The 26,063-nt window shown below is 35.8% G+C and overlaps 1 protein-coding gene across 25 annotated transcripts in view; it reads left to right on the top strand.

Annotated features, from left to right (window-relative positions):
* Positions 1-25,295, top strand: part of ANKRD36B (ankyrin repeat domain 36B) — a 97,215-nt gene extending 71,920 nt beyond the window's left edge. For 16 of the 25 annotated variants that reach the window (XM_047445328.1, XM_047445323.1, XM_047445324.1 and 13 more), the window contains 8 exons: positions 2,013-2,226; positions 4,595-4,778; positions 5,906-6,820; positions 8,225-8,377; positions 9,893-9,963; positions 10,301-10,394; positions 10,893-10,922; positions 25,103-25,295. In XM_047445328.1, the coding sequence (XP_047301284.1) occupies positions 2,013-2,226; positions 4,595-4,778; positions 5,906-6,820; positions 8,225-8,377; positions 9,893-9,963; positions 10,301-10,394; positions 10,893-10,916 (1,655 nt within the window). In that variant the 3' untranslated portion in view covers positions 10,917-10,922; positions 25,103-25,295. The other 9 variants (XM_005263995.6, NM_025190.4, XR_007078917.1 and 6 more) reach the window with 9 other exon arrangements.
* Positions 25,296-26,063: the final 768 nt, after the last annotated feature.

The raw sequence follows: 26,063 nt of genomic DNA, 5'->3' as shown, positions 1-26,063 counted from the left end.
TTTGTTATTAGGGGCATAAAGACTGAGGATTGTTATGTTTTGTTGATTAACTGAACCTTTTACTATTGTGACATGACCTTTGTTATTTATTGCTGGAATGTTTTTTTTTTTTTGCTATGAAATCTACTTTGGTATTAATACAGCCACACCTGCTCAGCTGCCTTTGCCAACTGTTAGCATGTATCTTTTTCCATCCTTACAACCAATTTGTGTCTTTACATTTAAAGTGCATTTCTTATAGGCAGCCTGTAGTTGGGTCTTGCTTTCTTGCTGAGCCTGACAGTCTGTATTATAGTTGAGGTTCTTAGACAAGTGTCATTTGTAATGTGATTACTGATATAGTTATGTTTGTCTGGTAGCTGTGTGATTGCTATTAGTCCCAACTGTTCTCTGTTCCCCTTCTTTTCCTGCTTTCCTTTAGATTAGTCAACTGTTTTTTATGATTCAATTTTATATATATTTTTGGGTTTATTAGCGATAACTGTTTTGCTATCTTAGTGTTTAGGATTTTTAGTATATAATTTTAACTTATCACAGTTCACCTTCAGTAATATTATACATCCTAGATGGTATAAAAAATGACAATGATACATTTTCATTTTTTTCTGTCCCAGACACTTCCTTCCTGAATCTGTGGGATTATGGTTTGTGTTAAGGTTAGAATATTTTTGGTCATTTTTTCTTTAATTTTTTTTCTGTCTCTTCTTTTTTATTTGAGGAGTTATCTATTAGCTGCTTGAAAGTTTCTTGCAGTTTATCGTGTCAAATTTAGGAATTTTTCCTTTGTTATCTCTAATTTGTGTTTATTTCCATCCACTATAGTTTTTACTTATGACAATGTAATTTGTGTCTCTACAAGTATGGTTTGTGTTTTTTTAAAAAAAAACCTTCCCTGCCTCCACTTATTATCTTGAGTTTTATTTGGAGTACAGAGATTTACTTATAATCTTTCCATTCTTGCTTTTAGATTTGGGGTAATTCCTCACTCCTGAGGCAAGACCTTTCGGAGTATTCATTGTCCTGTGAAGTATGCGGTATTTTGGCCTGGCTCATGGGAATGGACCCTCTTCCAGTCATTGTGTGAACCCCAGACATCGTTTCTGCTAATGTTCTTTAACTGTTGTTTTTTTTTATTTTATTTTTCATTGTTCTTAGGAAGTTTCCTAGTACACAAGCACTTTTCATTACTCCACTAAATACCCAAGAGGGAATCTCTGCACATCTCCAGGATTTGTTTCCTGTACTGCTTTTTTCTCTCCAGTTTTCTGTCCTGTGATCTCTATCTGCTTTGGTTTTACTGGCCTCTCAGCGTCATCACCCCAGCTCTATGTCAGATTTTCTCCCTTTGTGATGGCCTCGAACCTCCGTCAAAACTCTGTCAAAAGAGCTGGGATATTTGTAAGGCCTGCTGTATTTGTTTTCTGTCTTTCAGTGATCACCTACCATCTTCATTGCCTGAAGTCCACTGTGTTGAAAATCAGTTTAATGTATTGTGTCTGTTTTGTTTTTTATTCATTCAGATAAGATGAAAAATCAGTATCTGTTACTCCATCAGAGCTAGTAACAGATTGCAGCAGAGCTTCAGCACAGCACATGCTGCAAACTAGCCAGAGTGCTTTGCTTTCTTCTTTGCTTAACTGCTTCTTTCTCATCCTTCATTTCTCAGTGTAGCATCTCTTCCTCAGGGAAATCTTCCCTGGGTGAAGTATAGATCAAATTATCTTATGCAATCACATAACTATGTTTTTTTTTTTTTTTTTTTTTTACAGGACCTATCTGAGTTTATAACTGTCACCTTTTTATCTTGGTTCTTCACTATACTTTAAGCTAAAACAATAGCAGAGGTGTTGTCTTATCTGCAGACCTTACTATAATATCTTCCACCTTGTAGGCACTCAATATGTACATACTTGTTCAACGTATGAATGAATACATGTTAAAAATGCACAGTCCTTTATATCCAAAAATCTACTCATGTATTTTATCTCTAGTTTGTTTTTTCCTGGTTACAGATTGTGTTCACCTATTGAAAATTAAAAATACATTTTGTTTATGGAAAAGATTAATAAAACTTAAAGATAACCACTGTGAGCAACTTAGAGTAAAAATTCGAAAACTGAAAAATAAGGCTAGTGTACTACAAAAGAGAATATCTGAAAAAGAAGAAATAAAATCGCAGTTAAAGCATGAAATACTTGAATTGGAAAAAGAACTCTGTAGTTTGAGGTATGACCTAGTTTTAAATAAATGTTTGAACTGTTTGTTTTATATTAAAGACGTATAAGGAGAAGTTTTGTAATTGCGAACTTTCCTTCTAGGATTTAACAGGGAAGAAAGCTTCTTAATCTTATGGAGTGTGAAATTATTGGATATAATATCACAAGTTCTTAATTGTGAATACTTCTCTAATAATTAAATGCATATTCTTTTAAATCATAGTTTTAATGGCTGTATAGAATTTTACCTTTTGGAAATCTCATTATTTAATTGATGAATTGAATTTCAGGTTTTAAAAAGTTTTTGTAATAATGCTACAAGGAACATCTTTTATATACACATAGTTTTCTACATTTCTAATTATTTACATTGGATAAATTCTTCTGGTTAAAGTATAGAAACTTTTTTAGATCTGTTTTAGATCTGTGATCAATATTTCTAAATTGTTCTTAAGGATGTTCATATTAATTTATAATTCAACCAACAGAGTATAAAACAGATATTTTTCTTTACCCAGAATAATTATTTTAAAAATTATCAGCCGGGTGCAGTGGCTCATGCCTGTAATCCCAGCACTTTGGTAGGCCGAGGTGGGCAGATCACGAGGTCAGGAGTTCGAGACCAGTCTGCCCAACACAGTGAAATGCTATCTCTACTAAAAATACAAAAAATTAGCCAGGTATGGTGGTTGTACCTGTAATCCCAGCTACGCAGGAGGCTGAGGCAGGAGAATCACATGAAACTGGGAGGCAGAGGTTGCAGTGAGCAGAGATTGCACCAGTGCACTCCAGCCCAGTGATAGTAGGAGACTCCCTCTCAAAAAAAAAAAAAAAAAAATGTATCCAGTTTTATTCTTAATATGCAGGGAATAAAAAGTAAAATGTAAAGTGATTACTGATTAGCTTATTCAACATCTCTCTGCTATGTAGATAAAATTAATTCAGTTTTATGCTGAAGACATGTATTATTCTTTATTGTTTAATTAAATATTAGATCTTGTGTTGTTCCAAAACAGATTTTACAATTGGTTATAAAGTACATACTAATCAGCAGGATAGACTGAAAGTGTTACCCAAAAAACAATCTTAAAAAGTGTAGGGTAACATATTACATTCTTAACCTAGTCTTGGATTACAGTAATCTGCTGATATATGTTTCATAAAGACATCGAAAATGCTATCTTGCAATGTAAATTATGTTTAGGGATACTTGCAATGAATGTTTCATGAAGATGAAAATGTATTTCTAGTGAATGTACCAACTTGTTTATAAAAAGTAACTTTATGTTAATTAACTCTAAATGATTCATCCTAATTGAGGAGTAATTACTGTGAAGAAAAGATAATTTTTATCTTGTAACTTTACTGAATAATTTTCAACGTCCTTTTTCATAATATTTGCTAGAGTTACTAGTAATAGAAACTTATGCAGGATGTTCTTTTATCAATACATTTCAACTTATACATGCCCTTTGGATGAGATTGAGGTGAGAAATTAAAAACATGAGAACTAGAAAGAAAAATAGTATTTAAGAACATAGAAACTTTATTAGGATAATAAACCAACATATGAATGTTTTATTTTCTAATATCAACAAAGAGAGTCAAACTCTGTAAGATATTTGAAGACATTTATTCTGAGCCAAATATGAGTGACCGTGGCCCCCGACACAGCCCTCAGGAGGTCCTGAGAACATGTGCCCGAAGTGGTCGGGGTGCAGCTTGGTTTTATACATTTTAGAGAAGCATGAGACAGCAATCAAATACATGTAAGAAATACATTGATTTGGTTCAGAAAGGCAGGCCAACTCAAAGCTGGGGCTTCCAGGCTGTAGGTAAATTTAAACATTTTCTGGTTGACAATTGCTTGAGTTTATTTGAAGACCTGGGATTAATGGAAAGAAATGTTCAGGTTAAGATAAATGATTGTGGGGACCAAGTTTTACTGTGCAGAGGAATCTCTCAGCAGACTTCAGAGAGAGCAGATTGTAAAATGTTTCTTATCGGACCCAAAAGGGTGCCTGGCTCTCAGCTGAATATCCCCTGGATCTGCATAGAAAGGAAGGAAAACAAAGGGGAAAGGGGGTTCTCTATAGAATGTGGATTTTTCCCACAAGAGACTTTGCAGGGCAATTTCAAGGCATGGCAAGGAAATATATTTTGGATTAAATATTTTCTTCCTTGTCTCGTAAGGTTATGCCAGAGTCAGATTGAAAAGCAAGTCACAATATACAGGGTCAAATAAAACCCATCTGATGAGAATCCATGGTTTGTAGGGCACGACTCCCTGGACCCCTTAGGTAGGAATTTGGGCAAGATAAAAAATTAGAGCTTAGTCCTCACTGATAAGATAAATTCTAAGATAAGTATATTTACAGATTTGCCATACAGCAAGAAAAAAAGAAAAGAAGAAATGTTGAAGAGTTGCACCAAAAAGTTAGGGAAAAGTTAAGAATAACAGAAGAGCAATATAGGATAGAAGCTGATGTGACAAAACCAATTAAACCGGCTCTCAAATCAGCAGAGGTGGAATTGAAGACAGGAGGAAATAATTCAAATCAGGTAAATTAATGTTTGGTAAAACTTCATATTTCTACTCTTATTAATATTACTTATACCATCTCTTTCATTTAACATATATTATTTAGGCCTGAACAATCCCCAAATTTTATTTCATCTTAAAAATGAATCATGGCATTTATAGCTATAATTATTTATAATAAATCTTGAAATATTTTATTTTAGTTCAAAGGCCTTTTGAAAACAATGCTATTCTACAATATATACTTAATGATATTGTAAGTATTTTGTTCCTAGTGACATAGTTCAGCATATTTCCCCTATTTCATGTTAATTACATTTCAAATGTTATGGAAAAGGAATAAAAGTTATCACAATAGCAAATAATGTCATGATTTTCTAAGAAGAGTTTTATAGATCTAATTTTCTTGACTTTTGGTGTCTTGAAATAAAAGATTATTTTTGTATGTATATATCTACCTCACAGAAGTTACTGATTTGGTGGAAGAGCACTAGGAATAGAGTCAGAAAAGCTGGGAAAAATCCTGCAGCTTGCTTATATTTTTAACCTTTTGCTATAGAATTATAACTAAATGAGTTCATTGATTTGTGCACGTAAAAGTGCTTAGTATAATGCCTAGCTTTATCATTTATCAATAAATGTCATTCTTAAAACTGACCATAACAATATTAGAAAAGTAGAATATCTATACAATATTTTAGAAAAAGGGAACTTAAAGAATTTGGAAAATGTCATTCATCTGTCCAAATATCTGCCAAGCTAAGGCTCTCACTATAGGGAGAGGTATAGTTTAGATGTTAGAGTGTAAACCCAATTTTTTAATGTGGTCATAGTTATTAATTCTTTATGCCTTGCAATTTGTTGTAATTCAGTAAAAGCCTTTTTTTATCCTGAAATTTAAAAAAATTATCTAGTGGCTTCTTTTTTGCTTTCATGGATTCACTGTCTTCAAATAAACTTTTGAACTTTGGGGAATTTATGCTGTATGAGGTTTGAGGTTTTGACTTAACTTCTTTTTTCCCAGTTAGATATCCAGTTATGGCAACCTCTCATTGTATAAATGTACGGGTTATTATTTAATTTCAGAAGCAATCACAATATGTTATCCTATTGGATACTAGTTACAAGTTTGCTTTGTTTTACTTAGGTTTCTGAAACTGATGAAAAAGAAGACCTGCTGCATGAAAACCGCTTGATGCAAGATGAAATTGCCAGGCTCAGGCTGGAAAAAGACACAATAAAAAACCAAAACCTGGAAAAGAAATACTTAAAAGACTTTGAAATTGTGAAAAGAAAGCATGAAGACCTTCAAAAGGCTCTAAAACGGAATGGGGAAACATTAGCAAAAACGATAGCCTGTTATAGTGGACAGCTTGCTGCTCTGACAGATGAAAACACAACGCTCCGTTCCAAACTGGAGAAGCAAAGAGAGAGCAGGCAAAGACTGGAAACAGAAATGCAATCATACCGTTGTAGACTGAATGCTGCTCGATGTGATCATGATCAAAGTCACTCATCAAAAAGAGACCAAGAGCTTGCTTTCCAGGGCACAGTAGATAAATGTCGTCACTTACAGGAAAATTTGAATTCTCATGTTCTGATTCTTTCTCTGCAACTTTCTAAAGCTGAGAGTAAGTCCAGAGTCCTCAAAACTGAGCTCCATTACACAGGAGAGGCTCTGAAAGAAAAGGCTTTGGTTTTTGAACACGTGCAAAGTGAGCTAAAGCAAAAACAGAGTCAAATGAAGGACATTGAAAAAATGTACAAAAGTGGATACAATACAATGGAAAAATGCATAGAAAAACAGGAAAGATTTTGTCAACTAAAAAAACAAAATATGTTGCTTCAACAGCAACTGGATGATGCTCGCAACAAAGCTGACAATCAAGAAAAAGCAATACTTAATATTCAAGCCAGATGTGATGCTAGAGTACAAAACCTTCAAGCTGAGTGCAGAAAGCACCGTCTTTTACTAGAAGAAGACAATAAAATGTTGGTCAATGAACTGAATCATTCGAAAGAAAAAGAATGCCAATATGAAAAAGAGAAAGCAGAAAGAGAAGTAAGTATCAAGAAAAATAAGTATTTTTCAAACTTCCTGAAGTAAAATTTAAAGTAATATTTGGTTACAGCTGAATGTTGGATCTAGTTGAATATAAAAAAGGATACATATGATAAATATATCTGCTTAGAAACATTCCTTGTCTCCAGCAAGTCAAAGTTAGAACTGAGAGATGCTTTCCTCTGATTAAAGTCAATGTGTCGCTTATAAAATTTTAAGTTATAAAATGTTAACATAGACTAACATTAATAATGTAGTCTTATACTGCTGAAGTAATAATTTTAATGTATTTATGTTGCAACATTTTAAGACCATGATAAATCAGGTATATGGAAATGCTCATACCTAAAATGGTATTTTGAAATTGATTCAATTAAGTGGGGTACTTTGACAGTGAATTTCAGATTTCCTAGATGAACTGAAGTGTATTCCCTATTTCATAATTACTTTTCTTCAGTAGCTTTAAATATGTCTTAGTTGGTAAAATTTTGTTTTTCTTCATGTCAATTTGACTTAAATCTGAAACTATTTCAATCTCAAATTATGTATAGATATGACCATTCTATTCTTTCAAGGCATCTAATTTTACTTCTATTATAATATGGGGCAAATGCAGTAAATTTTAGCCAAATCATGTTTGATTTAATCTTCCCACTGGCATTTATAATTTACTTTCAGTTTTTAAATAAAAAATTTGTTCATAATTTTTATTTCAAGGCTCAATTACTATCATTTGGATATAACTTTGTCCAGGACAAAGAGAGGCATAGCTATCTGTGATTTATTAGTTTGACACTGGATCCCCATTTTCAGACTAAGGAGGATTTCAGACTAACGAGGAGTGGCAGGATTCACGTAGAGTAGGAATGGAGTGAGTACGGAGGAGAGATATAGCAGCTGAGTCAGGGCGGGAGGTGGAGGGCGGGTTACTTAGAGCATCTAAGGCCACTGGAATTTTACTTTTCTTCTGAGATAGACATCTATTGGAAGGATTTAAGCAGATGATTTAATGTGAGGAACTCTGAGGTTGATTTGAGTTTCTAATTTAAAAAAAGAGGGAAATCATTCCACAATGTATAATTTACTACCATCAGTCTCACCCACATACTCATTTCTTTTTGAGACTTCAGAAGGTTTTTAAGCATTGCAGATTCATCAAGGGAGGAATGACTAGTGGGCTGAATATGTTGTGTGAATAACAATACCAGTTTGGCAGGAAGATAACACCTTCTGTATCCTTAACTGGATTCAGTAATACACAGGAATGTGTACACATGAGGAAAAGAAGGTGAATCGGTCTGTGTGGTGATATTTTTCAAAGAGTATGCTTTAGAGTTAAATATTATTAATGGTTTAATAATAAGGTGATTTGTAAAATCAGTAACAAAAATAACATCTTATCAGGTAGCTGTGAGACAGCTTCAACAAAAACGAGATGATGTCTTAAACAAAGGATCAGCAACAAAAGCTCTGCTGGATGCTTCATCGCGTCACTGCACCTATTTAGAAAATGGGATGCAGGATTCAAGGAAGAAATTAGACCAGATGAGAAGTCAAGTATGTATGCAACTTTGCACACCAACAACTGTTAATCTGTAGCTAGTTAACTAATATAAAGTGTTTTGGGGTACTAATTTTAGTGGATGGCTTTCTTTTGTATTTTTATGATAATTAATGTTATTAAAATTTTATAGTGGATGGCTTTCTTCTGTATTTTCCTTATTATTAATTTTATTAAGATTTTATTATAATGCACCTATATCTTAATCTCTGGCTTTCATTCTGCCATTTTTTATACATATATTTTTTTCTTAAATATTTAACCTTAGGAAAGTTGAGAATTATGCATCATTTCTCACAGAAGTTGAGAGAGTTTTTTTTTCCTGTTAAACAGTCTATTTTTAATGATTTCTCTATTGGCATGGTGAGGCAAGCCAGGTTAATTCAGAGGATAATGTCTAATGGAATGTTTCAGAAAATTATCTTCTTTTTAGTCTCTACTTTTCTGAATGTATAAAGAACCTGTGTATACGTATTTCTTAGATTTCAGGTTAACTTGTTCAGAAAGGCCATTTTACTGAATAAATTTTTATTTCGATGAAAATCCTTACTTCCTTTGTATTGGGCTCAGAGAGCACACTCTGTCTCTATATGAATATGGACAGTTAGCATTTGCCAACATGTATCTATTTTCTCTTATTTGTAGAAAAAGCTAAACTAAAAAGGGGGTTATAGAAGGTCAGCAAAGGATGGGTTTGAGATGTTTGGGTTGGTTAAGTGGGCATTTAGACAACAGGGCTTCTCCTTTGGCATGTTTAATGGACATCTTTGCAGTTTAAGATGACGCTTTTAAATTACTTCTCTCCTAATGATGACCTGAGTCCTGCTATTCAATGGGAGAGTCAATAAGATCCTGTAGGATCTTATTTGGAACTGACTTTGTCGATTTTAATTTTGTTCCTGCTTGTTTTTAAATTTTCTTGTTGTTTCCCTAGAAAGGAAAGATGATGCTTAGTTTTAAATATTTAAAAATGTGCAAGTTGCTTTGCTATAATAAAACTAAATGCATACATACAAAAAATAAAATTATAGTTGATGTGGTAGTGTTTGGAATTCAAAATATAAATGCTTAGCGTGAGGTAATCCTTTATCTTTCCACATTTTACCAGTTTGTAAGTTTGAGTATTTAATTGATAAAATGTAATTCAAAAGCAAGAAGAATGTTGTGTTTTAGTCCTAGAGCAGGGGTCTGTGAACTTTTCTGTAAAGGGCCAGATAGTATTATGTAAGGCTTTGTGAGCCATAAGATCCTTGTTGCAATAACTCGGCCCTGCAATTACAGCACAAAAGTAGCCATGAACAATATGCAGACTGAAGGGGTGTAGCAGTGTCCCACTAAAATTACTTACAAAAAACAGGTAATGGGATGATTTCTCCTAGATTATGACCTTTTATAAATAAAAAAGATTGTGATAGTCTAAAATATTTCATATATATTTTGTTGATTCATTCATCTACTGATGGACATTTAGGTCATTTCCAAATGTAATTTTTTAAAATTCTTTGTTTCAGTTTCAAGAAATACAGGATCAACTTACAGCTACTATAAGATGTACTAAGGAGATGGAAGGCGACACACAAAAGTAAAATTTGAAGCAGCACACAAAATAACTTGAGTATTTATAAAGCAAAAGAGCACTGTAGTATGAAAATTGTATCAGTTATGATAATTAGTATGTCTTTGTGAAGCCAAAAAAGTTTCATTTGTAAGCTATATCGAAATACATCATTTTTCTACATTATTCCTAAATTTTGCATATTATCACCAAAACACAGGTAGAAAATGACACAGTAGCCCAATCGTCTACTTTTGTGATTGCTAAGAATTTGTGTAATTATACCTTCAGAAGTTTGTTTAGAATTTACATGATTTAAAAAAAATTACGTGTGAGAGTAATTATTTTAAAATGCACATTTTAGGCTTGAAGTAGAACATGTGATGATGAGAAAAATTATTAAAAAACAGGATGACCAAATTGAGCGGCTTGAGAAAATCCTGCAGCATTCAAGTTTGGTAAGCTGATCTCTTAATTTCTGTCATACTGAAAAGGAATTTTATTTTTCCAGTAGGATGGGTTAAATATCCCTTGTCCAAAATGCTTGGGACCAAAAGTAGATTTTTTTCAGATTTTGGAATATTTGTATATACCTAATGAAATATCTTGCGGATGGTACCTGAGTCTAAACATGAAATTCATTTGTGTTTCATATATACCTTATGCACATAGCCTGAAGGTAATTCTCTACAATGTTTTACAGTAATTTTTTGCAGGTAAGAAAGTTTTTACTGTTTTCCCCAGAGCCTGTCACATGAGGTCAGGTGTGGAACGTTGCAGTTGTGGTGTCATGTCCGTGCTCAAAAAGTTTCAGATTGTAGAGCATTTTGGATTTCAGATTTTTAGATTAGGGATGATCAATCTACAGTACAGATGCTCCTTGACTTACAGTGGGTTTACATGATAATGTCTCTTGTTTGACTGAAACATTATAAGTAATATTTGATTTATTTCAGATGCTGCAGGTGTTTGAGAGCTAGATGAAGGTATGTTGCCAAAATTTATGAATTAAATTCAAATCATTGATTTCTGAAATAAACTCTAAGTAGTGAACGGTATTCCCTCTCAATTGCTTGGTTAATAAATGCTACATTAAATATTTTTTCTTACACACATCTAGTGAAAGATGTGAAAACATAAACATTCATAGTGAAGGGTGTACTTATGCTTTGTTAATTCATCATGTTTCATAGCTTTAAAAAAATCGCAAGAAATCTGTGTATCCCTTTTTTTCTGGCCCTACACTTTTCTTCTGCCACCCCTATAGACTATCAGCCTGCACACTGAAACTGTTCTCACAAAACAAAGGCATTATCAACTTCTCAAGGTTAAGGTAGTGATTTAAGGCTAAGAGACCCCACACTCGTGTGATAATAATTAGTTAAGCAATTACAGGTCACAAGCAGTCACTTGACCAGTGACATTTTAAATCTCTAGTCATTGACTTTGTCATTGGTTTACTTTTGCCCCTGGGAAAAGTTGAAAATTCCTTAGCATGGAATCAAAACTCTCACATCAGTGTGGTTCTTGTCAAGTTATTCAGCCTTATCTTTCGCCACTTACCATACTCTACACCTTTGTTCTAGCATCCAGCCAAACTAGACTACATGGAGCTCCACAGTGATCGTCTTCACCTCCAGCTGTTTGCATTTACTTCTTCCCTCTATCCTACATGTGTTTTCCTTCCCCTTCAGATATCAACCTATGAATTGCCTCTACCAAAAAGCCTACAATATTGACACAAACCTGGGCTAGTATCCCTTCTATGTCTTCCAATAAGTGCTGTCTTATGCTTGTCATTGTATGTATGACTCTGTATGGGAATTGCCTGTTTGTTTTTTCAGATTATAGCATACAGTTGTTGAGGGGCGGACCGTATCATCTTTATCTTGTAATTCCAGTGCTTGTCCTAGTACCTTAGCACATGGTTGCTGAATACATGAACGAAGAGTGAGAAACCAGAAGCTCTGATACTTAACTGCCATGATAATGAATTCGGTGTGCAACTATGGGCAAATTATATTTAATAGTAATTGCATATTGTACATATTTTTCATTCTTATTAACACTGATAAGCTTTTCAGCATATACTGACTTTCTCTTAGTTAACTGTGAAATCATTTAGATAAAGAATATAATTCTTTTTCATTCTAACTTCTGAATTTAAATCTGAATCCTCTATAGCAGGGGTCCCCAACTCCCAGGCCACACACAGTTCCATGACCTGTTAGGAAGCAGGCTGCACAGCAGGAGGTGAGTGGCAGGCAAGCGAGTGAAGCTTCATCTGTATTTCCAGCCACTCCCTGTTGCTCACATTATCACCTGAGCTCTGCCTCCTGTCAGATCAGCAAAGCCATTAGATTCTCACAGGAGTGAAAATCCTACTGTGAACTGCTCGTTCAAGGGATCTAGGTCACATGCTCCTTATGAGACTCTAATGCCTGATGATATGTCATTGTCTCCTATCTCTTCACGATGGGACCATCTAGTTACAGAAAAACAAGCTCAGGACTCCCATTGATTCTCCATTATGATGAGTTGTGTAATTATTTCATTATGTATTACAATGTAGTCATAATAGGAATAAAGTGCACAATAGATGTAATACGCTTGAATCACCATCCTGAAACCATCCCCCAAACCCCCATCTGTGGAAAAATTATCTTTCACAAAACTGCTGCCTGGTGCCAAAAAGGCTGGGGACTGCTGCTCTATAGCTTCTGCACTAGAATCTACTAATGAGTAAAATTTAAATCAATAACTAGTTTTAAAAGCATAACAAGAATATGTGCTGTCTGGCTGCAGTGGCTCATGCCTGTATTCTCAGCACTTTGGGAGGCCAGTGCAGGTGGATCACTTGAGGTCAGGAGTTCAAGACCAGCCTGGCCAATATGGTGAAATCCTGTCTCTACTAAAAATACAAAAATTAGCTGGGTGTGGTGGTGCATGCCTGTAGTCTCAGCTACTCGGGAGGCTGAGGTGGGAGAATCACTTGAACCCGGGAGGCAGAGGTTTCAGTGAGCCAAGATCGTGCCACTGCACTCCAGCCTGAGCAACAGAGTGACTCCATCTCAAATGCAAAACAAAACAGAAAGAATACATGCTGACGAAAAAAATCTAAGACAATAAAATTGTATTACTAGGCTGTTAACATGATATTTTGTTTCCCGTTAAATGTGTGACATGCAAAAGTATTTATTAAATGAAAATATTTTTTATCTTTTATGTCTGATGAAAATTTATATCGTGTTTTAAATGATGTTTCTTGGCCTCTTTAACTTTTTATTTTTTTATTATTTTTTTTTTGAGACGGAGTCTGGCTCTGTCACCCAGGCTGCAGTGCAGTGGCGAGATCTTGGCTCACTGCAAGCTCCGCCTTCTGGGTTCACGCGGTTCTCCTGCCTCAACCTCCCGAGTAGCTGCGACTACAGGTGCCCAGCTAGTTTTTTTTTGTATTTTTAGTAGAGATGGAGTTTCTCCCTGTTAGCCAGGATGGTCTCCATCTCCTGACCTTGTGATCTGCCCGCCTCGGCCACCCAAAGTGCTGGGATTACAGGTGTGAGCCACTGCACCGAGCCTGAAAATCTTACTACCTAAATAACTTCCCACTCCACTCACACCCACAATCTTTCTATAATCCACATTCTCTCCTGAGACAAGAGCTTGGGAAGTTCCGTCTTGCTGAGGGAACTTTATATTGTTCAGGAATTCTTTAATAAGGTTTTACATAGTTGGGGAAACCAGGGAAAAGCAGGTTTGTCACTGCTTTGCTGAGGAGCAGACTCACGTGCCTTGGAAGAATTTAGTAAACCTTCAATAGATGGCCTAAGATACTAACAGGGGCCATCTCATTAAGCTACACAGTTATTTATAAATGAAAGTATAATCTAGAACTTACATGTCAAAGTCTTCCACTAGAAAGATGGCAATATTTGACTAAAACTGCAAAGTTTGTCCCAGTTGACAAAACTCTAATCAAGCCCCTGCCCTTCTCATTCTGTTTTTCCTTTTAAACTTTTTCTTATATTTTAATTTTTCATTTGACAAATGCATATTTCCTCTTTATACCATGCTTCCAAGTGTCACTCTGATACATACCTTCAATGAGCAGACACAGGATTGTGGAGTTTGTTGTGGACACTCATCCCATGAATAGGGAGACTCCGATAACCTGAACAGACGGCTCTAGAAAAGAAAGGAAACTTTCTTTTCCTTCCATACAGAGCTTCCCCCCATTATTTCAGTGTACACAAACCAACATCAGTTCTTTAACACAAAAATAAAAATACTCAAGATCAAGCAATTGTGAGGGGAATCATCTTTCCAGAAGTCAATTCTTCTAGCGGCTACCTTCAGCATATACAACTTGAATAAAAAGAAGTTGGTCAAACGAGTAAAACTTTCCCACCTCATTCCAGTTCTATCTACCCATTGACAACACCTTCGGTCTTCTCACAAATATTGAGTAGAAACACTGCCAACTCTTCACCTTTATCTGGCTCATTCCCAGAGCCAGGAGAAGATGTGACTTATTTGGTGGATGGGAAATCTTATCCATTGGTCCCATCAAATCCATTGGTCCACGTTTGCCTATTAGTAAGGCAAACTTACTCAGTGATCAATGAGTACATCTAGTCTCTCTTTCTCCTCTGGATTCTGAACAGGAGACTTGGAAGGCAGGTGAAGACCCTCCCTGCACTGGGTGGGTAACTGACTGTTCTTCAGATGAACTTTTTTTTGTTCAGGTTCTAAAGTCAAGGCTAGGGGGCAATATTAGAAGTCTTTTTTGGTCAACATTAAGCCATAGTTTCTAAATCAGCTTTAGGAGGAATAATGTATTTGGATATTGATCTGACCTTTTGTTTTTATTTCTAAGTTGGTTTGGCACTGAAAAAGGAGAGGTTTGTTATCAGTCCACACCCCTAATGCCCTGACATCCATGAATCCGTTTTAGTGGAATCCAGATCTCTAAGAAAGAGATATAAAATATTTGTTCCTATCCAACTGTGATTACTGTATTTCCAACTATGTTGCTGTCGGTAAGTAGAGTCTGCATACATGTTTCTGGTTCATATATGCCTAGGGTTCCAGAGCATTACATTTCCATCAAAATGTAGATCCCGAGAATGCCAGAGAGGGTCAGGCCGAGGATAGAACAGACAGTGATTTTCAGATACTGCAGTAGGAAGGTGGATCCATGTCTTGGCTGGTACTTGTAACCATGAAGTGTGGGAAAGTAATGACCAGATTGAGTAAATGACCAGAAATTCAAAACTAAGCCACAAGAAATTTGTCTATTTCTGCTTTTGTTGACTGCTATCAGGGTTGCATCAAAAACAGTATTGCTGAGACCAGTGTTGTGGAGCTTTAACTCTATGTTTTCTTCTAGTAATTTTACAGTTCAGGCCTTCTATTTAAATCTTCATTTGGAGTTGATATTAGTATGTGGTGTAAGTTAAGGGACTAACTTTATTTTTCCTGTGGATATTCAGTTTTCTCAACACCATTTGTAGAACAGACTATCCTTTAACCATTGTATGTCCTTGGCACCTTTGTCAAAGATAAGTTGACGTGTGTGGATTTATTTCTGGGTTTTCCATTTTGTTTAGCAAATTTGTCCATTTATATGCCACTACCATGATTACAATTGTTTTACAGTATGTAATAAAATTAGGTAGCATGCTGTCTCTAGCTTTGTTCTTTTTGCTCAAGATTATTTTGTCTATTTTAGGTCTGTTCAATACAAATGTCAAGATTTTTTTCCATTTCTGTAAAAGAATGGCATTGGAATTTTGATAGTGATTGCATCAAATATGTTGCTTTTGGTATTTTGTTCATTTTCACAATATTAATTCATCCCATCCACAAGCATGAATTTTTTTTTCATTTACTTGTGTTTTTAAATTTTTGTTCATTGGTGTTTTATAGTTTTTCATATACAGGACCTTTAATTTTTTGCTTAAATTTACACCTAAGTATTTAATTTCTGTTGCTATCATACTTGGGATTTTTAAAAAATTTCTTCAGGTAGTTTGTTATTTGTATACAGAAACACTTCTGATCTTTGTTAGATTATTTTGTATCCTGAAACCTTATCGAATTCATGCATCAGTTCTAACAGTTTTTGGTGGAATATTTAGGGTTTTCTGTATACAGGATCATGTTGTCTGCAATTAGAGATAATTTCACTTTTTTCTGAGTAGGATGCTTTTCTTTTCTTGTCTAATTGTTCTGCCTAGGAATTCCACTGTTAACGATGAAAAGAAGTGGTGAGACTGGTCATCCTTGTCTTGTCTCTGAACATGGAGGAAAAGCTTTCCACTTTTCACTGTTGAGAATAATGTTAGCTAAGAGCTTGTCATACACGGTTCTTTTTTGTGTCGAGATACATTTTCTCTACACTTAATTTGTTGAGAGCTTTCATCATGAAAGGGTTTTAAATTTTGTCATGTGCTTTTTCTGCATGTATTGAGAGAATCGTATGATTTTTGTCTTTGACTTTGTTCATGCATTTTATCACATGTATTCATATGCATATGTTGAAACCAACTTGCATCCAAAGGATAAATCCCACTTTATCATGGTGAATGATTCCATTCATATATTCTTAAATTTGGTTGCTAATGTTTTGTTGAAGATTTTTGAATCAGGGTTCGTTACTGACATTGGCCTAGTATTTTCGTCTCTTGTAGTGTCCTTGTCTGTCTTTGGTATCGGAATGATGGTACCCTAATAAAATGAGTTTGGAAGTATTTCCTCTATTTCACTTTTTTGAAAGAGTTTGAGAGTAATTAGTATTAGTTCTTTAAAGGTTTGTCAGAATTTAGCAGTGAAGCCTTCTGGTCCTATGCTTTTCTTTCATGGGAGGCTTTTAATTTCTGCTTCAGGCCAGGCTTGGTGGCTCACACCTGTAATCCTAGCACTTTGGGAGGCTGAGGTGGGTGGATTGCTTGAGGTCTGGAGTTCGAGACCAGCCTAGCCAAAGTAGTGAAACCCTGTCTCTACTAAAAATACAAAAAATCAGATGGGTGTGGTGGTGGGCGCCTGTAACCCCAGCTACTTGGAAGGCTGAGGTAGGAGAATTGCTTGAACCTGGGAGGCGGAGGCTGCAGTTAGCTGAGACTGTGCCATTGCACTCTACCCTGGGCAACAAAAGCAAAACTCCGCTTCAAAAAAAAAAAAATTCTGCTTCAATTTCCTTATTATTTATTAGTCCATTCAGATTTTCTGTTTCTTCTTGATTCAGTCTTGGTAAGTTGTATGTTTGTGGAAATGTTTTTATTTCTTCCATGTTATCCAAATTGTTGGCATACAAATGTTCATTATATGAACAATTGTAATCCTTTGTATTTTAGAGTTAAAAGTTGTAATTTCTCCTATTTCATTTCTGATCTTATTTGTTGGAATAGTCCTTTTTCTAGTTAGTCTAGATACGGATTGGTTGATTTTGTTTATCGCCTTAAAAAGAAGTTCAGTATTAATTCTTTCCATTGGGTTTCTCATATCTATTTTATTTATTTCCACTTTAATCTTTGCTATTTTCTTATTTCTGCTAATTCTTGGCTTTGTTTCTCATCTAGTTCATTGAGGTATAATGATTGATTTAACTACATTCTGTAAGTTTTGGTATGTTGTGTTTTCATTTTTGTGTGTCTTAAAATATGTTTTTAAATTTTTTCTGTAACTCATGGGCCATTTATGAATATGTTAAATTTTGCTATTTTATGTATTTTTCAAGATTTCTTCTGTTACGGATTTCTAGCTTTATGCCATTGGGATGCAAAAATTTTCTTTCTATAATTCAATTCTCTAATATTTGTTAAGATCTGTTTTGTGGCCTAACATATGACATATACTGGAGAATGTTCCACCCACATTTCAGAAGAACAGGTACACTTCTGCTGTTGGATAGGATGTTCTGGGTATATCTGTTAGATCCAGTTGCTCCAAAGTGTGATTCAAATCTAATGTTTCTTAATTTATTATCTTTCTAAATGATCTTTCCATGGTTGAAATTGGAGTATTGAGGTCTCCTACTATTATAGTATTGCAGTATATTTTTCTCATGAGATTATTTAATAATTGCTTTATGAATTTAGGTCTTGTGACCTTGAGTGCATATATATTTACATGTATTATGTCTTCATGATGAATTAACTCCTTTATCGTTATGCAGTGAACCCTATCTCTTTTATAGGTTTTGACTTAGTTTATTTCTTTTAATAGTAAGTATAGCTCCCCTGCTCTATTTTAGTTTGCATTTGCATGGAATATCTTTTTTCATCTTTTCAGTTTCAGCCTATATATGTCTTGACTGGTAAAGTGAGTCTCTTGTAGGCAGCACATGATTGAATCTTGTTTTTTATTCTATCCATTGAGATGCTCTATGTCCTTTTATTTGACAATGTAATGCACTTACTATCAAGGTAATTATTTATAGGGAAGGACTTGCTACTGCCACTTTGTAATTTTTTTTCTGATTGTTTTATGAGTTCTTTGTTCCCTTTTTCTCTCTTGCTGAACTATTTTATAGCTTGATGGCTTTCTGTGGTGGTATGCTTTAAAATTTTGGATAAATTGCAAAATAAACTTTTTTATTTTGTGCAGTTATGATAGGTTTTGTTTTGTGGTTATCATGAAACTTACCTAAAATATCATATTCTTATAACAAACTACTCTAACAACTTCTGATAGCAACTTCTCTTTAATTGCATCCAAAAGTCTACATTTTCATTCTCTCTCCCTTACAATTGTACAATTTTATGTCAAAACTTACCCTTTTAGTTCATACTTATATACCTTAGCAATTTATTGTAGCTACAGTTATTTTCAATACCTTTGTCTGCTAACCCTACTAGTAGGGATAAAATTGCTTTACAAACCACCCTTAGAATATTAGAGCATTTGGAACATGACTGTGTATTACTGATAGCATTGACGCTTTTTACTTTTATGTGTTTTTTCTTACTATTTAGCCTTTTATTTCAATGCAAGGCTCTTCCTTTAGTAATTCTGATCAATCAGGGATATTGATTATAAATTTTATTAGTTTTTTTTTGTATAGAAAGGTTTTTATATCTCCCTCTCCCTCATTTCTACAGGACAGCTTTGCTAGGCACAGCATTTTTTTTTCAAGATGGAGTCTTGCTCTGTCACCCAGGTTGGAGTGCAGCGGTGTGATCTCGCCTCCCAGGTTCAAGCTTGCTCACTGCCATCTCTGCCTACCAGGTTCAAGCAATTCTCCTGCCTCAGCCTCCCGAGTAGTTGGGATTACAGGCCCATGCCACCATGCCCAGCTAATTTTTGTATTTTTAGTAGAGATGGGGTTTCATCATGTTGGCCAGGCTGGTCTTGAACTCCTGACCTCCTGATCCACCTGCCTTGGCCTCCCAAACTGCTGTGATTACAGGTATGAGCCAGTTCACCCAACCGGGAACAGTATTGTTGATTGGCATTTTTGTTTGTTTGCTTGCTTGTTTGCTTTAGCATTTTGAATACATCATCCCTCTCTCGTGGACTGTAGGGTTTTCTGCAGAGAAATCCACTGAAAGCCATATTGAAGCTCCCTTGAATGTGATGTATTTCTTGTTTTTTTGCTGTTTTCAGTATTCTTTGTTTTTCATTTTTAATAACTTCATTGTGATGTGTGTTGATAAATGCCTCTTGGATTGAAATGGATTCATGACCTCTGCAGTTTTCATACCTCAATGTTGTCATCATTCTTCATGTTTGGGAAATTTTTAGTCATTATTTCATTAAATATGCTTTCTAGGCCTTTTTCTTTTTCTTCTCCTTCAGAAACTGATATTATATGAAAGTTGGGTTGTTTGATTGAGTCCCATAATTGCCATAGGCATTTGTTATTCTTTTTTGTTGTTGTTTTTCCCCGATGGAATCATTTCAAATGTTTTTTCTTTAAGCTCACTGATTCTTTTTTTCTGCTAATAAAATCAGCTGCTGAAGCATTGTATTAAATTTTTAGTTTGTTGTATTCTCTATATCTAGAATTTCTATTTGTTTTTTTGTTATCATATCTATTTCTACTTCAGAACTATCATTCTGTTAATGAATTGTTTCCCAAATTTATTTTAGTATGTTATCCATGATTTCTTGTACAGGCATACTTCAGGGATATTGCAGGTGTGATTCCAGGCAACCACAATGTAATAAGAACTTGAATTTTTGGTTTTACACTGCATATAAAAGTTTTTTACACTATACCATAGTCTATAAAGTGTGCAATAGCCTTATGTCTACAATTACATACTTTAAAAACTACTTTATTGCTAAAAATGCAAATGATCATCTGAGCCTTCAGTGAATTTTAATTTTTGCTGATAAAGAGTCTTTCCTCTGTGTTGATGGCTGCTGAATGATTAAGGTGGTGGTTGCTGCAGATTGAGGTGGTTGTGGCGATTTCTTAAAATAAAACAACAGTAAAGTTTGCTGCATCACTTGACTCCTTTGATGAAAGGTTTATCTGTAGTGTGCCATGCTGTTGGATAGCATTTTACCTCACAGTAGAACACCTTTCAAAATGAGAGTCGATCCTATCTAATGCTGCCACCGCTTTATCAACTCAGTTTGTATAATAAGATAGGTGTTTTTTTGTCATTTCAACAGTGTTTACAGTATCTTCACGAGGAATAGATTCCATCTCAGATGGATGGGCTATAAGAAACAACTTTTAGTACATTCAAGTTTGATCATGAAACTGCAGAAATTCAGTCACAGGCTCAGGCTCCAGTTTTACTCTTAGTTCTCTCCCTAGTTCCATCACACTCACAGTTACTTCCTCCACTGAAGTCTTGAAACCCTGCAAGCTATCTATGAGGGCTGAAATCAATTTCTTCCAAACTTCATATTTTGACCTCCTCCAAGGAATCACAAATATCTTTAATTTCATCTAGAATAGTGATTGCTTTCTAAAAAAATCCAGATGATTTTTAATTTGCCTTGTGCAGATACACAGAAGAATCATTGTCTATGGCAGGTATAGGCTTACAAAATGTATTCTTAAATAATAAAATGTCCTTGATCCATGGGCTTCAGAATGAATGCTGTGTTAGCAGGCATGAAAACAACATTAATCTATTTGTACAACTCCATCAGAGCTCTTGGGTTATGAGTGCATTGTCAATGAGCAGTAATATTTTAAAAGATATATATATATATATATATATATATACACACACATATATACATACACACACATACACGTATACACACACACAAACACACACACACACACGTTTTCTGGACAATAGGTCTCAACAGTGTGCTTAAGATATTTGGTAAACCATACTGTAAACGATGTGTTTTCATCCAGGCTTTGTTGTTTCATTTATAGAGTATAGGTAGCATAGGTTTAGAAGAACTTAAAAATGTAGCAGAATGGTAAATGAGTACTGCCTTTAATGTTTTAATGTAACCAGCTGCATTAGCCAGTACATAAAGAGTCAGCCTGTCCTCTGAAGATTAGAAGCCAGGCATTGACTTCTCCTCTATAGCTGTGAAAGTTTTAGGTATCCTCTTCTTCCAGTATAATGCTGTTTTGTCTACATTGAAAATCTGTTATTTAGCATAACTGCCCTCATCAATGATCTTAGCTAGATCTTCTGGATAACTTGCTGCAGCTTCTCTATCAGCACTGGCTGCTTTACCTTGCACTTTTATGTTATGAAGATTCTTTTCTTAAACCTCATGAACCAACCTCTGCTAGCTTTAAACTTGTCTTCTGCAGCCTCCTCACCTGTGTCAGACTTCATAGAATTAAAGAATGTTACTAAGGCTTAGCTCTGGATTCAGCTTTGGCTTAGCGAAATGTTGTGGCTCATTTGATTTTCTATCCAGACCACTAAAACTGTCTTCACATCAGCAATAATACCATTGTACTTATCATTTGTGCATTCACTGGAGTAGTCTGTTTAATTTCCTTTAAGAACTTTTTTTTTTTTGCATTCACAGCTTAGTTTACTGTTTGATGTAAGTTGCCTAGCTTTCAGCCTATCTGAGCTTTCAACATGCTTTTCTCACCCTATTAATCATTTCTAGCTTTGTATTTAAATACTGGCATCATGGGGGCTAATGTGGCTTACAAAGTATAATTCATCTGGCAGATGGAACCATAGTTTGACACTACCAGTCTTATGTCGGGTTCAACCCAGTAATAAATCCAAGCCTACCCATTCTTCCCGGAAGGAGCTTGATTATGCATTGAATCAAGCTCCCAGAAGGAGCTTGATTATGCATTGAAATTCTACAACCTCCGTGGTTAGTGCCCAAGGAACTGTTTTCTTAAGAACTCTGCTCTGTGAGTCGACAGGATTTTGTATTTTTGAATGTATTTAGACCATAGAAAACAAAGAAGTAAGCATACAATGGGCCCACATTCAGAAGCTATCTCCTCAGGATCAGAGGCTGCATCCAGAGTGTGCATAGGTGTTTGTCACAGATCCTCTACCAAGCTTAATGGAGAGAGAGTGGGAGATAAATGTCCATACTAATCTTCATCATGTAGCTAGAAAGAACTGAAACACTCCTCCAGCCTTCTAACTTTCTAGCTACATCTGGATTGTCTGGCTCCTACCTTAACCAATTTCTGGTTACTGACAAGGCGTGGCACATCCTAAGTTCCAGGGAGCCACCAAAAACAGTCAATACTAGAGCACACAAGGACTTGAGAGGTACCTGAAGATCTCTGGCTGGAAAGTTTGGTGAGATCCTTTTCCTACATGAGGCCAGTCTTATCAAATGCACGGGAACCAACAGAGAGAGTCGAGGAAAAATGAAGAAACAGGGAAATATATTCAAAGCAAGAAAACAAGATAAATCTCCAGCACCTGAGTGAAGTGCAGATATGTAATTTATCTGACAGAGATTTCCAAATAATGGTCATAACAATAATCACTGAGGTCAAGATAGCTTTGCAAGAACAAGTTGAGAACTTCAAGAAAAGGAAAAACGTTATACAATAATGTCAAACAAATCATAGATCTAAAGTGTACTGTAACTGAACTGAAAAAATTTAATAGAGGTGTCCATTAATAGAATCTATCAGTGAACTTTGAGACTGGTCACTGGAAATTATCTAACCTGAGGATCAGAAAAAAAGATAATGCAAACGGAGTGAAGACAACTTTAGAGAGTTATGGGACACCATCAAGCAGGACCACTCACACATTATTGGCATGCCTGAAGGAGAAGTGAGGAAGAAAGGAACGGAAAAGTGTTTAAAGGAATAATGACAGAGAATTTATCAAGCATGGGGAAGAAAACAGAAAGCCTGATCCAGAAAGCCCAAAGGAAACCAAATAAGGTGAATCCAGGGACTCACAACAAGATACACTATAATCAAATTGTCCAAAGTTAAAGACAAAAAGAGAGTGATATTGTTTGCAAATTTGTACCCTCCAAATATTGTGTCGAGATTTGATCCCCAATGTTGGAGGTGGGACCTAGTGGGAGGTGTTTGGGTCATGGTGGTTGATCTCTCCTGGATAGCTTTTTGCCCTTTTTTCACTAATGAGTGAGTTCTCACTGCATTACACGAAAGGTGGTTGTTTAAAACAGTGTGGCACCTCTCCCCTCTCTTCCTACCTCTCTAGCCATGTGTGTCATACCCGTTGTCTCTTCACCTTTAGCCACAAGTAAAAGCCTTCTGGGTCCCTGACCAGAAGCTGTGCAGATGCCACTGCCATTCTTCTTCTACAGCCTGCAAAACTGTGAGCCAAACAAACCTCTGTTCCTTATACCTAGTCTTATACCTGTTCCTTATACCTTATTACCTAGTCTCAGCTATTTTTTTATAGCAACACAAAAATTTGTGTTTTTCCGTGTTGCTCTTTTCTGTGTTATTCTGTGTTGCTAACACAGAAATTAGTACCAAGGAGTGGGGTTTTGCTATAAAAACACCTGATAATGCAGAATTTGCTTTGGAACTGGGTAATAGGCAAAGAAGACAGGAAGATGAGGAAACTTGTGGAACTTAATTAGACCTTGGTTAAGTGGTCGACCAAAATGATAATAGGAATATGAACAGTGAAGGCCATGCTGTTGAGGTACATAGAATACAACTTTCAAGAAGTGACTGCACCATTTTGCATTCCCACAAGCAATGAATGAAGTTTCCTCTTGCTCCACATCCTTGCCAGCGTTTGATGTTGTCAGTGGTTCTAGATTTTGGTTATTCTAATACGTGTGCAGTGGCATCTCATGGTTGCATTTCTCTGAGGAAATATTATGTGTAGCCTCATTACATATGCTTATTTTCCATTTGTATAATTTACTTGGTGAGGTACTTGTTAAGGTCTTTAGCTCATGTCTTTTACTGCTCAGCTTTAAGAATACTAATATGTTTTGAATAATAGTTCTTAATCAGATACGTTTTGGCAAATTTTTTTCCATCTGTGGTTTCTCTTTTCTTTCAGTGTCTTTAATGGTGTAAAAATGTTACATTTTCATCAAGTCCAGCTTGTCAATTCTTTCTTCTATTGACTTCAACTTTGGTGTTTTTTCTAAAGGTCATCATTAAACCCAAGATAATCTGTATTTCCTTCTATATTATCTTCTATAAATTTTATAGTTTTTTGTATATTTATGTTGCTGATCCATTTTGAGTTAATTTTGGTGGGGGTGTAAGGTCTGCAATTTATTTTTTTTTTGCATGTGGATATCCAGGTATTCCAGCAGCCCTTCCTGAAAAAACTGTTTCATCATCATAATGCCTTTACTTTTTTGTCAAAAATTAATCGAATGTATTAATGTGTTTCTATTTGTGAACTCTCTATCTCATTTTATCCGTTTGTTCTTTCACTAATACCACACTGTCTCCATTACTGTAGCTTTAGGGTAAGTCTTGAAATTGAGTAGTGTCTGTCCTCCAAGTTTGTTCTTCTCCTTCAATATGGTGTTAGCTATTCAAGGTCTTTTGCCTCTCCATATAAACATTTTCATTTAGAGTAGAATTGCATTGAATCTATACATTGGAAAGAACTGACATCTTAATAGCATTGAATCTACTTATGAATACGGTACATATCTCTTTTTGTTTCATTCTTCGCTTTCTTTCATCAGATATGGACATTTCTGGAATTAAGAGCATTGAATCTACTTATGAATACGGTACATATCTCTTTTTGTTTCATTCTTCGCTTTCTTTCATCAGATATGGACATTTCTGGAATTAAGAGCCCCCTCTACATTGAGCACAAGACAGTGACGAATCCACATTCTTCAGCCAGAAAGTCACCTCTGAGAGCCAAATGTCTGACTATAGAAAGGAGAGTCAAAGAATGATAACGACATCTCAGGAAAATTGTGAAAATAATCAGCAGCCGGATGTGGATAACCCTTTCAAATTTCTCCAGGGCACCTGTCATTTCAGCCAATACTTGCCAGCTTGTGCCAAGGATGCTGGAGCTCCCTGGGATGAGTTTCCCAGGGGAGGAGCTGGCCGCCATCTTTGCTGTTTGGGTGACACAGCCATTCCAGCCTGTGGGCTTTGGACAGTGCAAACTGGTGGGGTAGAAGGGATCCCTAGAATAGCACAGCTGCTCTCCCAACATGTGCCCAGATCCTTTTTTTTTTTTTTTTTTTTTTTTTTTTTTTTGAGAAGGAGTCTTGCTCTGTCACCCAGGCTGGAGTGCAGTGGCATGATCTCGGCTTACAGCACCCATCACAGCCCTGGTTCAAGCAGTTCTTCTGCCTCAGCCTCCCAAGTAGCTAGGACTACAGGTGCCCATCACCACGCACAGCGAATTTTTTTATTTTTAGTAGAGATGGGGTTTCACCATGTTGGCCAGGCTGGTCTGGAACTCCTGACCTCAAGTGATCCACCCTGCTGGGCCTCCCGAAGTATGGGGATTACAGGCATGAGCCACCGTGGCCGGCCCCAGACAGAATCTTTAAGGGGATTCCCAATCTGTTCCTCCCAACCAGGGCCTCCAGCTACCCCACTGGTGTCTGGGGCTGAGAGGAATTTGAATTCTCCCTGGGAGGGAGTTCTGGAGTTCCTGCCCAGTGGGAGTCCTTCCAACTGGGGCCTGGGGGAGAGGATGGGGCCAGCTTTGGAGAGTCCCAAATGACTGGGGGTGGAAGGGATCCCCCAGCACATCACAACTGCTCTA

Source organism: Homo sapiens, chromosome 2, assembly GCF_000001405.40.
Source record: "Homo sapiens chromosome 2, GRCh38.p14 Primary Assembly".
NCBI lineage: Eukaryota > Metazoa > Chordata > Mammalia > Primates > Hominidae > Homo > Homo sapiens.
The sequence above is the reverse complement of the archived record's forward strand: the minus strand, read 5'-3'. Positions and strand labels throughout refer to the sequence as shown.